Source organism: Homo sapiens, chromosome X (assembly GCF_000001405.40).
Source record: "Homo sapiens chromosome X, GRCh38.p14 Primary Assembly".
Taxonomy (NCBI): Eukaryota; Metazoa; Chordata; class Mammalia; order Primates; family Hominidae; genus Homo; species Homo sapiens.
The window spans coordinates 20409751-20424463 of NC_000023.11; the positions used below are offsets into that span (position 1 = coordinate 20409751).

Consider the following 14713-nt stretch of genomic DNA (forward strand, 5'->3'; position numbering starts at 1 on the left):
TTGAGACTACAAGTGTATAAAACAGACACACTTGTTACATTCTGATTTTCTCTTATTTAGTGTAGAACATTTAAGATACCTATGATGCCGGGCCACTTTCAGAAAAATACAAATCATTCCTTCAACTTCGGCAGGTATGACAGTCGTGAGTAAACTGTCAGCATCTATTTGAAAATGCGAAGGGTAGAGAATGGAACTCGTAAATTTGACAAGCTCTTTATGTTCCATTCATAAGGGCTAGCGATAAATGAATCTTGATTTAACACTTATTTGTACTGTTATTGGCTTTAAAAAAAAAAGGAAAACATTTTATTGCACTCTGATTGTAGATTATGCTTCTCGGGACTCATCCCTCTGTTTAGCAACATAGGGCAGATTTGATTCAATATTTACCATGTAAACACATGGTTCAGTCTCATGAGTGACCATTTCTGGTTACCCGGCCCCAGTTGAGTGCAGCATTTCCACTCCATCTCCAGAGATCTTTATGTTAGTTTAAGGCAGTTGAAGGCCTTGTGCAATGTTTTTTCTTTTTGCTACATATGATCTCCTCTATTAAGTAAATAGCTTAAATTGTATTCGGGTTACCTTGGAATACGTAGTATAGTAGCATTTTACCTGTCGACTGAAAACAATTTGCAGAGGAAAGCTGATCTAATGCTACCTCCTTGCTTAATTTGTGGCTTCTTACAGAATATAGGGTAAACTCATTTTCTTATATCCATGTCTCTCCACTACCTGTCCCCAGGAAACCTCTCCAATCCTATCATTACCAACCATTTGCTATTATGAAAATGATCTCTGAGTATGCTTTATTAATTTCTGCCTCCCTCTCTCCCTCTTCCTTCCTCCCTCCCTCCCTCATTCTCTCTTTCCTCCCCGTCCATCTCTTTCCTTTTTCCCTCCCTCCCTCTCTACTGGCCTCTTTCTAGTGCATACTCATTAAGCACCTACAGTATGGTGGACTTTACACTTAGCATGGTAGGAAAGATGAAATCGACAATGCAGCCCCCAGCACTGCAGGGGATGTGGACAGAAGCAACAGTACTTACAGTATCTATAATGGTGAATGAATTACCCAACTTTGCTTGAGGAGGTCAGAGAAGTTTTCAGAGAAATGATGACTTGTAAGCTGAGTTTTGAAGGATAATTGGGGCTCACCAGGTAGACAAAGCCAATACATTTATGGTTCACAGAAGCAATGGTACAAATGGAAGAGCAGAGGCAAGAAACACCACATCTGTGCTACCTCCCTTCTCCCTTCCCTCTCTGCCTTCCTTGCACACATATTTAGCGGGTGATCATGTGGCAAGCATCGCCCTAGGTCTCCAGAGACAACACTAGACAAGAAGGACAATATTCCTGTCCTGGGGAAACTTATCTGCTAGTTGTGAAATGACACATGATTTGCTGAGACTAACAGCTCCTATATCCCTAAACACTTCAAAAAATGTTTGGGACGTGTTGCATTCTGAATGCTGCCTCCTGGAGTTTCACGGTGCACAATTTCACAGTCGAGGCCCTGGGAAGTCCTTCATCAAGAAATCTGTTATCTTCATTTACTGTGGTTCTCAAGTGCATTTAACCAGGGGAACTTTGTTTTAAGTAGCAATTAATACCACACAAAGCCAGTTTTCTAAAGGAGTCACTGCAGGAAATGTTTGAGTGTTCGTTTCTTCCAATCTCATTGCCTATTGTATCAGTTGCGTGTTTTCATAATAATGCTGCATAAAAACAGCCACAGAACCTCCGTGGCATACAACGATAAGAACTCAGTGCTTGCACCCCTGGGGAGGTTGGTTAGGTGGCTCTGCTGACCTTGGCTGAGCTTGATCCTATGTCTGGGGTCTGGCTGGCTATTATAGCTGGGACAACTGGGATGAATTGGCTGCGCCCTGCTTGCCTGGGCATACACCTGGGCATATTTTCCTGGTGGTGACTGAGGCATAAAAAGGCTAGTGAAACTATGTAAGCAATTTTTCAGATCCCTGCTTTGTGAAGAATTTTAGCTTCCTAATGTCCAAAGCAAGCTACATGGCTGAGTCCAGAATTAAAGTGGCCGGGGATGGGGCACTGCAAAGTTTCATGGCAAAGAGTGAAGATACAGAGAACAGGGAGGAATTGGGGCCACTTTAGTACTTGACCGCATCTACCTAAGACCCCGACTCAGGTATCACCTCTTCCATGAAGCCTTTTCTGACTTTCTCAGACCCATATCCATTTCTTTATCTGAGACTTCCCACTGCACGTCCAGTACCTTACTGCCAAGTTAGGAGCTCTCTTAAACTCCCAGCTTGCTTCACATTGGCTCCCCTACATAGATGACAAATTCCTCGAGGGTAGAGACCATATTTTTTCTGTGTGTGTGTGGTATTTTTTTTTTTCCTTTTGAGACGGACTCTCACTCTGTTGCCCAGGCTGGAGTGCAGTGATGTGATCTTGGCTCACTGCAACCTCCACCTCCTGGCTCAAGCGATTCTCCTGCCTCAGCCTCCCGAGTAGCTGGGATTACAGGTGCCTGCCACCACACTGGGCCAATTTTTGTATTTTTAGTAGAGACAGGGTTTTGCCGTGTTGGCCAGGCTGGTCTCGAACTCCTGGCATCAAGTGATCTACCTGCCTCCCAAAGTGCTGGGATTACAGGCGTGAGCCATCGGGGGAAGACCATATTTCTTTTTTTTTTTCTTCTAAAAAAAGAAAAGGGATACACGTGCAGAACGTGCAGGTTTGTTACATAGGTATACATGTGTCATGGTGGTTTGCTGCATCTATTGACCCATTCTCTAAGCTCCCTCCCCTTACCCCAACCCCCAACAGGCCCTGGTGTGTATTGTTCCCCTCACTGTGTTCATGTGTCCTCAATGTTTAACTCCCACTTATGAGTGAGAACATGTGGTATTTGATTCTCTGTTCTTGTGTTAGTTTGCTGAGGATGATGGCCTCCAGCTTCATCCATGTCCCTGCAAAGGACATGATCTCATTCCTTTTTGTGGCTGCATAGTATTCCATGGTGTATATGTGCCACATTTTCCTTACCCAGTCTATCATTGATGGGGATTTGGGTTGGTTCCATGTAAATAGTGCTGTCTCCTGTGGGCTTCCCCTGAGGCTGGGCCCCTGTACTCCCGATGCCACTCAGATTTGTGCCTACAGGGCCAAGATCAGCTCGGCGAGGTTGGGGGTTGGTGGGGGGGGACTGGCACTTGTGTCAGAGAAATGCCAGAAAAGCTCTGCCCAAGAGCCGGAAGTTGCGTCTGTGTGTATGTACTTCTTTGCTTTTGTTGTGTTCTCAGCCCTCGCAGGGACTCTAACCACTTCCCCCTGAACTTCAGGCCGTACGGGAACCTCACCTCTCTTGCGGTAGTGGTCCTTCTAAATTCGGGCCACTCGACTCATTCCTTCCTGTCTCATTTTGTTCTTCCTGCCTCTTCTGTGCATGGGGGCTACATTACTGATGCTGCGGTTGCCCAGTTGGAGAGGAGAGCAGTAGTATAAGAAAAGCACCCTGGACCTGTGCCCCTCAAAGCGAGGTCCCTGGGCCAGCAGCATCGGCTTTACCTGAGAACTGCTTAGAAATGCAGACTCTCTGGTGCCACCCCAGACCTCCTGGATCTGCCTCTGTATTTTAACTGGACCCCCAGAGGTGTCGTCAAGCCTGAGAAACACCAGCATCTGGTTACAGCTCGCCAGCCCTTTAGCTCTGTAACCTGGCAAGTCTCTTCGCTTCTCTGTCGGACACACTGATTTCCCCTGTGTCAAATTAGATGCATTTAATTATGTGGTAATTCAGATTACTTTGTTGCTTCATCAGAGAAGTACAAAGGTGTGGGAAGTGGCAGAAAATCATATTGTGCACAAAATCAAGAACTTTTAGAGCTGGAAAGAACTTGATTGACCACCTCCTCCAGTTCCCTCTTGTTTTATAGCCACTTAAGGTCAAGCCTTGCTAAGGAGAATGTCAGTCTCCTCCATCCTTCCAGGAGAAACACAGCCCCTGCAGTCAGAAGAGACAGGAAGGCCACATGAGACAGGAGGGAATGAGCCGACTGGCCTGAATTTAGGAGGACCACTACCATAAGAGAGGTGATGTTCCCATATGGCTTGAAGTTTAGGGGGAAGTGGATCCCTGATATGAAAATTGTGGTCCCTGAACCAGTAGCATTACAGTCACCTGGTAAGAGAGGCAGTGGGTGGTGTGCGAGAAATGCGGATTCTCAGGCCAAGGCTCATACCTACTTGATAAATAGAGTCAAAATCTCTATATACCAAGAACCCCGGATGATCTGTAAGCACAGCCAAGTTTGGGGAGCGCTGGGCTAAATGACGCAGTCACTGGGAATGCTTGAAGACAAATGAAGCCCAGAATAGAAGCGTCATTTCCCAAGTAGTAAGAGTGCTGGCCCTGGAAGCAAAGAAATGTAGATTTGAATTTCAACTTGCCACTTCTAGACTGTGGTTTTGAGAAAGGTACTTAACCCTCTCTGAGCTTCAGATTCCTCATCTGTAAAAAGTGTGAAGCAATTAGCATGATGTTTGGCACTCAGGAAGTGCTTAGTAAATGTTAACACAACAGGGCTTCATGGCTGAAAGCACAGACTTTGCAGCCAGAGTGCCTGGGTTGATAATCCTGGCTCTGCCACTTCCTAGCTGGGTGACCTTCAGCAAGTCACTTAACCTCTCTGAGCTCCAGGTTACTCATCTGCAAAGTGGAACTCACAATAGGGTTGTGATGACAATTTCATGGGTTAATATCTGTAAAGCATTTAGATACAGTCTGGCACATAGCAAGAGCTAAGTGTCTATTAAAAATTATATTGCTATTTTAGAGACTTGATGAAAGGAAGAGAGCCAGGCATACATGTTTTTTTTTTTTTTTCAAGCTTCAATAAAAGAGGAGTCTATTTCTCCCTCATGTAAAGAGAGTCAGGAAGTGCGCAGCCCTGTGTTGGCTTTCAGGCATCCACAGGACCTAGATGCCTCCATTTGACTCTGCCATGCTCATCCTGTGGATTCTGTCCTTATGGTGGAGAGAGGCTTGTGCAGCTCTCACTCCTGTACCCAGGTACAAGGCCAGCAGCAGAATGAAACAGCTGAGGAGGGTCAAGGGGTTCTGGATTAGTGGTGTATTGCTGTGTAATAAATTACCTCAACACTTGAGGGCTGGATATGATAAACACTATCTCACAGTGTCTGTGGCTCATCATCGGGAGCGGCTTAGCTGTGTGGTCGTGGCTCATGCTCTTACAGGCTGCAATCAAGGTGTCGGCAGGGGCTGCAGTCATCTCTAGCTCAACTGGGGAGGATCCACTTCTGAGCTCACTTCTGCAGTTGTTGGCAGGCCTCACAAGGTCCCCTTTCAAGCTTACTTATGTAGGCCCCTCCAGAGGGCTGCCTTATGACATGGCAGCTGGCTTCTCCCATTAGAAATTTAGCCCACACTCAAGCGGAGGGGGTTGTACGAGGGCCTAAATCCCAGGAGGTGGCATCATAGGGGCTGCATAGCACAGGCCTCTTCCCAGTGACTCAGCTTCCCTCAAGCAGCCTTCCTGGAATTCCCACACAACACTTTTGTTTATAGCTCACAGGTTGGAACTTAGTCACGTGGCCATACCAAGTTGCAAGAGAGGCCGAGGAATAGAATCTTTTAGCTAGAGGCATTTTCACCCCGAATTAAAATCAGGGTCTCATTACTAAAGAAGAAAGGTAGGGATGGCTAGTTCATTTTCTATAGCCTTCCTATAGAGCTGTGGTTCTCAAAGTATGGTCTCTAGACCTGCAGCATCAGCATCACTGGGGAACTGGTTAGAAATACAAATGTTTGGGCTGCATCCCAGACCGGCTGACCCAGAAACTCTGGGGATGAGGTCCAGTGATCTGTTTTCACAAGCCCTCCAGGGGATTCTGATGCACGCTCAAGTGTGAGAACCACTGCTACAGAGGACAATTGACATTCATACGATTGGTATAATAAAACATGAAGTCTGTTTATAAGAACCGACAAAAAATAAGAACCAACAACTTGGTGGTGTCTTTAGACAGTATCATCATGAACGGAGAGGCTTTCAAAAATGAGGCGTGTGCTACCTAATGATTCAGTTACAATTCACTTTGCGGTTTCCATCCCGAGGTTGCACATAATTTTATCAGGCAATAAGCTCCATTGTACAGATAAAACTTGAGGGTATACTTGGCAAAGGAGATCATAAATGAAGATTTCTTTATGATGAGCAAGGAACTATAGATTCTCGGTGGCTAGAAATTCCATACTTAAATAGTAGAACCAAAGTCGGGTTATGTAAGAGACTACTTAAATAATCAAATCCAGCAAAGCTGAATGTTTTAATCAACATGCAGGAAACAATAAATCAGGGCAGGCTGTAAAAAAAGTGGAGGACTTCAATAACCCACAAGTAAATTGTTGGGAGGAGGCTGCCTGGTATGGAAGACAGCTTATGGAGTCTGCAGCCCAATTCCATTTGTCCATGCACCCAAATATCCAGTAAGCCTCAGGACCTCTGAGCTTCATTTTCCTCCTAAAGTGGGGATGGTAATAACAGTTTTATCTGGCAGATGACAGAAAATTCACTGATGTTAAAATTCAGCACTGTACGCCGCATATCTACAACTATCTGATCTTTGACAAACCCGAGAAAAACAAGCAATGGGGAAAGGATTCCCTATTTAATAAATGGTGCTGGGAAAACCGGCTAGCCATATGTAGAAAGCTGAAACTGGATCCCTTCCTTACACCTTATACAAAAATCAATTCAAGATGGATTAAAGATTTAAATGTTAGACCTAAAACCATAAAAACCCTAGAAGAAAACCTAGGCATTACCATTCAGGACATAGGCATGGGCAAGGACTTCATGTCCAAAACACCAAAAGCAATGGCAACAAAAGACAAAATTGACAAATGGGATCTAATTAAACTAAAGAGCTTCTGCACAGCAAAAGAAACTACCATCAGAGTGAACAGGCAACCTACAAAATGGGAGAAAATTTTCGCAACCTACTCATCTGACAAAGGGCTAATATCCAGAATCTACAATGAACTCAAACAAATTTACAAGAAAAAAACAAACAACCCCATCAAAAAGTGGGAGAAGGACATGAACAGACACTTCTCAAAAGAAGACATTTATGCAGCCAAAAAACACACAAAAAAATGCTCATCATCACTGGCCATCAGAGAAATGCAAATCAAAACCACAATGAGATACCATCTCACACCAGTTAGAATGGCAATCATTAAAAAGTCAGGAAACAACAGGTGCTGGAGAGGATGTGGAGAAATAGGAACACTTTTACACTATTGGTGGGACTGTCAACTAGTTCAACCATTGTGGAAGTCAGTGTGGCAATTCCTCAGGGATCTAGAACTAGAAATACCATTTGACCCAGCCATCCCATTACTGGGTAGATACCCAAAGGACTATAAATCATGCTGCTATAAAGACACATGCACACGTATGTTTATTGCGGCATTATTCACAATAGCAAAGACTTGGAACCAACCCAAATGTCCAACAATGATAGACTGGATTGGGAAAATGTGGCACATGTACACCATGGAATACTATGCAGCCATAAAAAATGATGAGTTCATGTCCTTTGTAGGGACATGGATGAAATTGGAAATCATCATTCTCAGTAAACTATCGCAAGAACAAAAAACCAAACACCGCATATTCTCACTCATAGGTGGGAATTGAACAATGAGATCACATGGATACAGGAAGGGGAATATCACACTCTGGGGACTGTGGTGGGGTTGGGGGAGGGGGGAGGGATAGCATTGGGAGATATACCTAATGCTAGATGACGAGTTGGTGGGTGCAGCGCACCAGCATGGCACATGTATACATATGTAACTAACCTGCACAATGTGCACATGTACCCTAAAACTTAAAGTATAATAAAAAAAGAAGGAAAAAAAAGAAGAAAAAAAAAATTCAGCACTGTAACCCAAATCCCTGGCACATAGTAGGGGTCACACATGTGAAGTGGTCTCTGTTCTCTCCTTTTATCTAAATAATGTATAGAGAGATGGTTCATAGCAATAATACTTTTAAGTAGTTTCAAAACTCACAAGGAAATTAAGAACTCTTAATTTGGTTCTGATTTCCTTGAAAATCTGTATTTTGTTTTATTCCATTTCTTTTCATTATGCTAGTTTCCATCAAATTACATAATTCTTGCTCCATTTGGTGTTTACTATCAATCTTTATTTTTTCTTTATTATTGTTAGGCCCTTTTTGTGCAAATGGGTTTTGCAATTTAAACACTCTGGTCATTTTTTGTTTTGGTGTTTTGGCTTTCCTTTTAATTGAATATTCCTGACAACTTCTTGCTTCTGAAGAGCTGAGGAGAGCAGGCAGAATCCATCATTTCCTAGGAGGGGACTGTTACTTCCTGGTGAGATGACACACCGCAGAGAACCACCCTGTGTCTTTCTACCCCTGTATGTCTCTGTGTTGGGAGTGGGGTGGGGGGCTTCTATGTGCTTAAATTCCAGCCCCTACTTTTTTTTCCCCACTCACCTCTGCTTTAGCAAAATGTGTAGCCTCTCTTTTCAACTCCTTGTTTGCATTGCCTGCTGCTGTGGGGGGAGGCTCCCCAGCACCCCCACTCCAACCCAAGAAAGGAGCTATTCCCTTTGCTGAACACCAGTCTCCTTCTCTCATAGTGGGACTACGTAGTGGCACAGAGGAGCTGGGGGAAGTTCGACAGTGCGAAGTAGCAGGGCTTCTGAGGGCTCTGAGCCACATGTGGGCCAGCAACCCAGGGGCCTCTTTCTCTGGCCCTCTTCTCTGCCCACGCTTCCTGTCTGGGTTTAGCTTTGGCCCTTAAGCACAGCTGGCACATCCTCTAGGGTAAGAGGGGCCTCTCCTTGGGGGCTGTGGGGTGTGTTATTCTTTTTAGGCTTTCTCTGTGGTGAGGAGGGTGCAATAGAAAGGCATCTGGTCGCCCCGTGGGAGCAGCCTGTCCCTGGACTAGTTCTGGTGGATTACCCTGGGGTCTAATCAGGAGACAGAAGGCATACCAGGTATTTGAATAGTGAGGTTTTCATAGAAAGACACTGTTAATGAAAACGAAGTATAAAGTTGTTGTTGACTAGGTAATTGAAAGGGCAAAAAGAGAACTCGAAGGTACTTCAGAGGTAGCAAGTGCAGGAACCCCACCCCTGAGGCTGAGGGAACAAAGGAAGAAGCTGGAAATACCAAAATCTAGAAACTTAGAGGAGGGGCCCCATACTGCTGAAACTCAGAGCTCTGAGGGTGGGCACCGCTCAGCTGGTGCTGAAGTCTCTGAGCTCAGAGGAGGGGCCTGTGGGGCTGGACTCCTGGGAGGTGGTATCTGGCTGGCAGAGCTGAAAAAGGTGCAGCTGGCAAAGCAGATATGCGCTTTATGGAGCCCCAGCGTCAGCGTCACAGAACAGAGCATAGGAGAGCAGGTTTGGAGCTGAGAGAATAAATTAGTTACTGGACAACAACTTAAAAACTGGCACAAGTCCTTTTTTACTATTGAGCCTGCCCTAGGGCAGCGCTTCTCAACTCTAATGCAAGTATGAATCACCTGGGGATCTCATTAAAGTACAGCTGGTCTGGGATAGGGCCTAAGATTCTACATCTTTGACAAGCTCCCAGGTGATGCACATGCCTTTAGCAGCAAGAGCTAGGAGTCTTTGAAGAACCCGGTGCTTGCACCTTCCTGCTAGATGTGGACAGCAGTCTTCTGCAGGAGTCCCTTGCTGGGTTAGCTGTGTCCTTGTGACACCCTTTATGCAGGCATGTGGTATGCCCTTCTCTCCCATGTTCCTTAGTCCCGGACTTTCTCATTTCTTTCCTCCACATCAAATTTGTCAGGACTTTGCTAGCTGATGGGAATTTGGAGTGGTCACAGGTTAAAGCCTGGACTCTTCTAAGTGACATTAACATTTTCACCTGAGTCTTTTCACGCCTTCAGTCAAATAGGGAACATAGGAAGGGAGCCCATTTGGGCTATTCTCAAATTGTTCCTCATTATAGACCTGAAGATGACGCCATATTGATGACTGCCATTTTGTGATATCTGTAGAGGGTGTTTATTCGCCAATATTCTGTTGAAGAGGTGAGAAACAATCCCAAACATGTATGTACATGATCTCCACAAAGGCTCTCAGTACCATATCCATGTTTTCACAAGGGGATCATTTTGCCAAGTAAGTTTGAGGAGAAACAATGTTGTCCTTAAACAGCTTGAATGACAACACCAGGCTTCATAAATTGAAGTATAACAAGCAGGGTGGCAGCCTCAGCCCAAAAGTGGCAACCTGGGAACATCTTGAGAAAACAGCAGCTAAAGAACAAACTTCAAGCAGCCATGGCCAGCACAAACTTCTGGCAGCTAGCTATGGGGTCTCATGTTGGTGCTGGGCCTAGTAGCTCCCTGGGTGGACTCAGCCACTGAATTCCTTCTGCAGGGAGTATGTGAAGCTGGCCTTATGCTTCTTTATCACAAGTGAACTCTCACACCTGGAAAGGGAGGGTATGAAGGTGAGTGAGCAATTAAAGACAAATATTGAGATTGGAATATCTCAATTGGAAGGCCTATTTGCTGCCCAGGTCATTTGTGGATGATGCCCGCTGGAAAACCGTGTTCCTGGGATCTGAAGTTACAGTGTTTCAATACCTTTCCCCATTCATATATTGAGAATGTAATTTTATGTGTGATTACTGTGACCTTCTGAAATAGGGGCAAAAATGACTTTCGGGGGTTCTGATTTTACAAATGAGAGAACTGGAGCACAGAGATGGTAAGTGACTTTCTAGGGTCACAAGGTAGCCAAATTGTGATCCAGGCCCCTGACCTAGAGACATATGTCCAAAGACCCCGGAAATCTGGCTGCTAGAGTCTGAGGGCTATACTTTGGTCAGCAAAGTTTTTCTGTATAGGTCCATATAGTAAATATTTCAGGCTTTGCAGGCCATAGGGTCTCAGTTGCAACTATTCAACTCTGCTCTTGTACCACGAAAAACAGCCATAGACAGTATGAAAACAAATACGTTAGCCTGTGTTCCAACAAAACTTTATAACAACAGGCAGAGGGCTATATTTGGTCAACAGGCTGTGGTTTGCCAACTCCTGCTATATACCAATGGCAAAAGTTGAAAACATGATACATGTACATGATTTAATTCTTTTCGGAATTGAGAAGGGTAAAGACTACCAGTTAGGAAGATAGGAGGTGAGAATAGGAGAGAAGGAGGAGTAGGAGATAAGATGGATAAGGTAGGTGGAGGGAGACAATAGATAAAAAGAAAAAGAAAAAAAGAAGGAATAGGCATTAAGACAACTTTGATTTGAGGGGGACTTACCAACAAGATAAAAGAAACATGAGTTTGGAATCTTACCTAGGGCTGTGTGAAAGACAGTATAATTTTATCATAGTTTTTCTGTGCAAGATGAATTTGCTTTTCTCAAATGATTTTATTTTCAAATGACAAACTTAGAGCAGGCACAGTGAAGTTTGTGATATTAAATCACTGTCAAGTTATGCCTCTGTAAAAATAATTGTCCAACTGACTCTATCAGCTGAGTAACAACAATTTAAAAATACATAATTTATGACCAGGAATGATGAAATCTAGAAAATATTTCCCAGGAAAGAAATATATTTTAGCTGCTCAATAGAAAAACAAGTCCTTTGTTATTAATGCACTGATGCTTATGACGTCTTCACTATCTCAGAGATTAAAGGGTTTCTTGGAGATGTCGAGTGCCTGGTATTGCTAAAGCTTTTGGAAAGTTTTGCAGACAGATCTTATTGTTTTGCAAACATTTCCCCCTTCTACATACTTTGAAAAATGATTTCAGATCTCTTTTGAGAAGCTTTCTTCTTCATAGTTTCCTTATTGGCTTTATTGCTTTCCTGTGCCAGCAAGAAAACCATCTGAGCCAGCAGCACAAAGACTTAAAAACATTTGAAGAAGCAATCATTGCTGCCACTTTAGGGAATGTATTTTTCTAAAAGCACGGGAACCTGGGGGCTGAGGAATTGTATGACTACAGATGGTGAGCTGGGTCAAGTGGGACTACTTCAGAATTTTGGAGTACGCCCTGTGTCTAGAAATCCTTGTGGGTGTTGAATGCCTCCCTTTGTGGGGCAGTGTGGTGTAGTGGTTATGGGCACTGGATTTGGACACAGACCACTTTGGCTTGACTCATATCTCTGCTGCTGATTGGGTGGCCAATCCTAGACCAGTTACTCATTCTGTCTGTGGCTCACCCTCTTCATCTGTGAAATGGACATGATAATATCAATATCTATCTTAAAGAATCTTTATAAAGATTGAAAGAATTAAAATACATGAGAGCACTTAGAATGCCTGGCATATAGAAAACACTCAATACATGTTACTATTACAATTAATGAGAGGAAGACAAGAATCACAACAAATCAGGTTTTTTTTTGTGTGTGTATGATTTGCGAATTATTTCTGTTATTGTTTTTTAATTTTTTTAACTTTTAAGTTCAGGGGTACACGGGCAGGATGTGCAGGTTTGTTACACAGGTGAACATGTGTCACGGGGGTTTATTGTACAGATTGTTTCATCACCCAGGTATTAAGCCTAGTATCCATTAGTTATTTTTCCTGATCCTCTTCCTCTTCCCACCCTCCACCCTCCACCCTCCACCCTCTGATAGGCCCCAGTGTGTGTTTTTCCCCTGTATTTGTCCATGTGTTCTCATCAACAAATCAGGTTTTCTTTTGAAATTTTGTTACCTATGGAATGGTGTATATGCATGTGTGTTTCCACCTAGGCTGTTAAATATTGGCAGTGGATAACCTTATAAGGTATACATGTAAATCCAAAATTGTCGTGACAATTTTTGTGCAGAAGTGATACTGCAGCTAATGAGATTTTAATCAAAGCACAATTCTTGCTGATTGAAAGTTGTCATCAGCTTAGGCAACATAGAAAGACCCTGTCTCTACAACAAAAATTAAAAAAAAAATTAGCTGGGTATAGTGGCCCAGGCTTGTAGTCCTAGCTACTTGGGAGGCTGAGGCAGGAAGACCACTTGAGCCCAGAAGTTCGAGGCTGCAGTGAGCTCTGAGTGCACCACTACACTCCAGCCCGGGTGACAGAGCGAGATTCCATCTCTAAACAAGATTAAAAAGGAAGAAAGAAAGTTGTCATGACTGTTAATATATTGTTAGGTGAGATTAATCATATTTTAATGCTAAACTTTAGCTCAGACATCTCCTCTTAGTTCTAGACCCCTTTGGATTAATGGTACCTCAAATTCAACATATCCCAAACTTATCTCAAACTTGTTCCAATTCCTGCATAACCTAAGTCAGTAAATATATCAGTATCTATCCAGTTTCACAAACCAGAAACTTGGAGTCACCTTTGACCCTTCAGTATCTTTCACCAGATCCAATTCACCAGCTTGCCAATTTTAACTCCTGCCATGGTCTGAATGTTTGTGTCCCCCCAAAAATTCATATGTTGAAACCTAATCTCCAATGTGATAGTATTAAAAGATGGGGCCTTGAAGAGGTGAGGAGGTCATGAGGGTGGAGCCCTCATGAATAGTGTCCCTGTAAAAGAGGACTGAGAGAGCCTCCTTCACCCCTTTCACCATGTGAGGATGCAGCAAGAAGGCGCCATGTACGAGAAAGTGCGCCATCAGCAGACACCGAATTTTCCAGAGCCTTGGACTCCTCAGCCTCCAGAACTGTAATAAATAAATGTTTGTTGTTTATGAGCTACCCAGTCTACAGTTGGTTGTCATAGCAGCCCGAATGAACCAAGACACCTCCTAAATATCTCTCAAATTGGGCATATCTTTCCATTACCATTATTCATAACCAACGTAATCCAAGCCATCTTATCTCACATAAACTATTAGGTTAGCCTCATTGGTCTATGATCATCCATTCTTTTCCACATTAAATCCATTCTCCCCAGTCTGGGCAACATAGTGAGAGCCCAACTCTACAAAAAATTTAAAATAAATTAGCTGGATGTGGTGGCCTGTGCCTATAGTCCCAGGTACTTGGGAGGCTGAGGCAAGAGAATCGCTGGAGCCCAAGAGTTTGAGATTACAGTGAGCTATGATTGTGCCACTGCATTCCAGCCTGGGTGACAGAATGAGACTCTGTCTCTGAAAATAATAATGGTAATAACAATGATACTACTACTACTATTACTACTAATCCCTTCTTGTTAAAACCCAGATTCAGCTTTATTCTTTTAACTGGCATCCTGCTGGATTTACTAGTGCTTTCCATTTATCCCCTCTGTAAAATATACAATCCATGCGCACTGCATAGTGACTGCTCATTGCTAGTAGATGACTCTTCGGGATGCTCACATATTTCTGTTCCTACCTGTGAAGCTGTGTGTTTACTAAGAATCCCTAACCTGTTTTTGTCCCTTTTTGAAATAATTACATAATTTAATGAACCGTTACATAAGTTGATGAAACATGAACACATTCATATTTCAGAGAGGGAGGTTTTTTTTTCCTATAAAAATTAGATTGAATGCTTTGGGAAGACTCAGTAAAGGCAGGTTGCTATAAAAATTGCTGTTTAATTAGGTATAAGTGATAAAGCTGCAAAATATATCAGAAAATAAAACTCTAGGAGGATTCTGCACTCAGAATGCTTGCAAATGTATTTTAGTTCTTTCTTTAAAAAATTGAAATGGAAAA

The 14713-nt window shown here is 43.3% G+C and overlaps 2 annotated features.

Moving 5' to 3' along the window:
* Positions 8971-9080: an enhancer, noted in NCBI's record as "active region_29483". NCBI's record gives its function as "activates an Ori minimal core promoter by ATAC-STARR-seq in GM12878 lymphoblastoid cells {active_cell/tissue: GM12878}" and the evidence as "EXISTENCE:reporter gene assay evidence [ECO:0000049][PMID:35858748]".
* Positions 9111-9300: an enhancer, noted in NCBI's record as "active region_29484". NCBI's record gives its function as "activates an Ori minimal core promoter by ATAC-STARR-seq in GM12878 lymphoblastoid cells {active_cell/tissue: GM12878}" and the evidence as "EXISTENCE:reporter gene assay evidence [ECO:0000049][PMID:35858748]".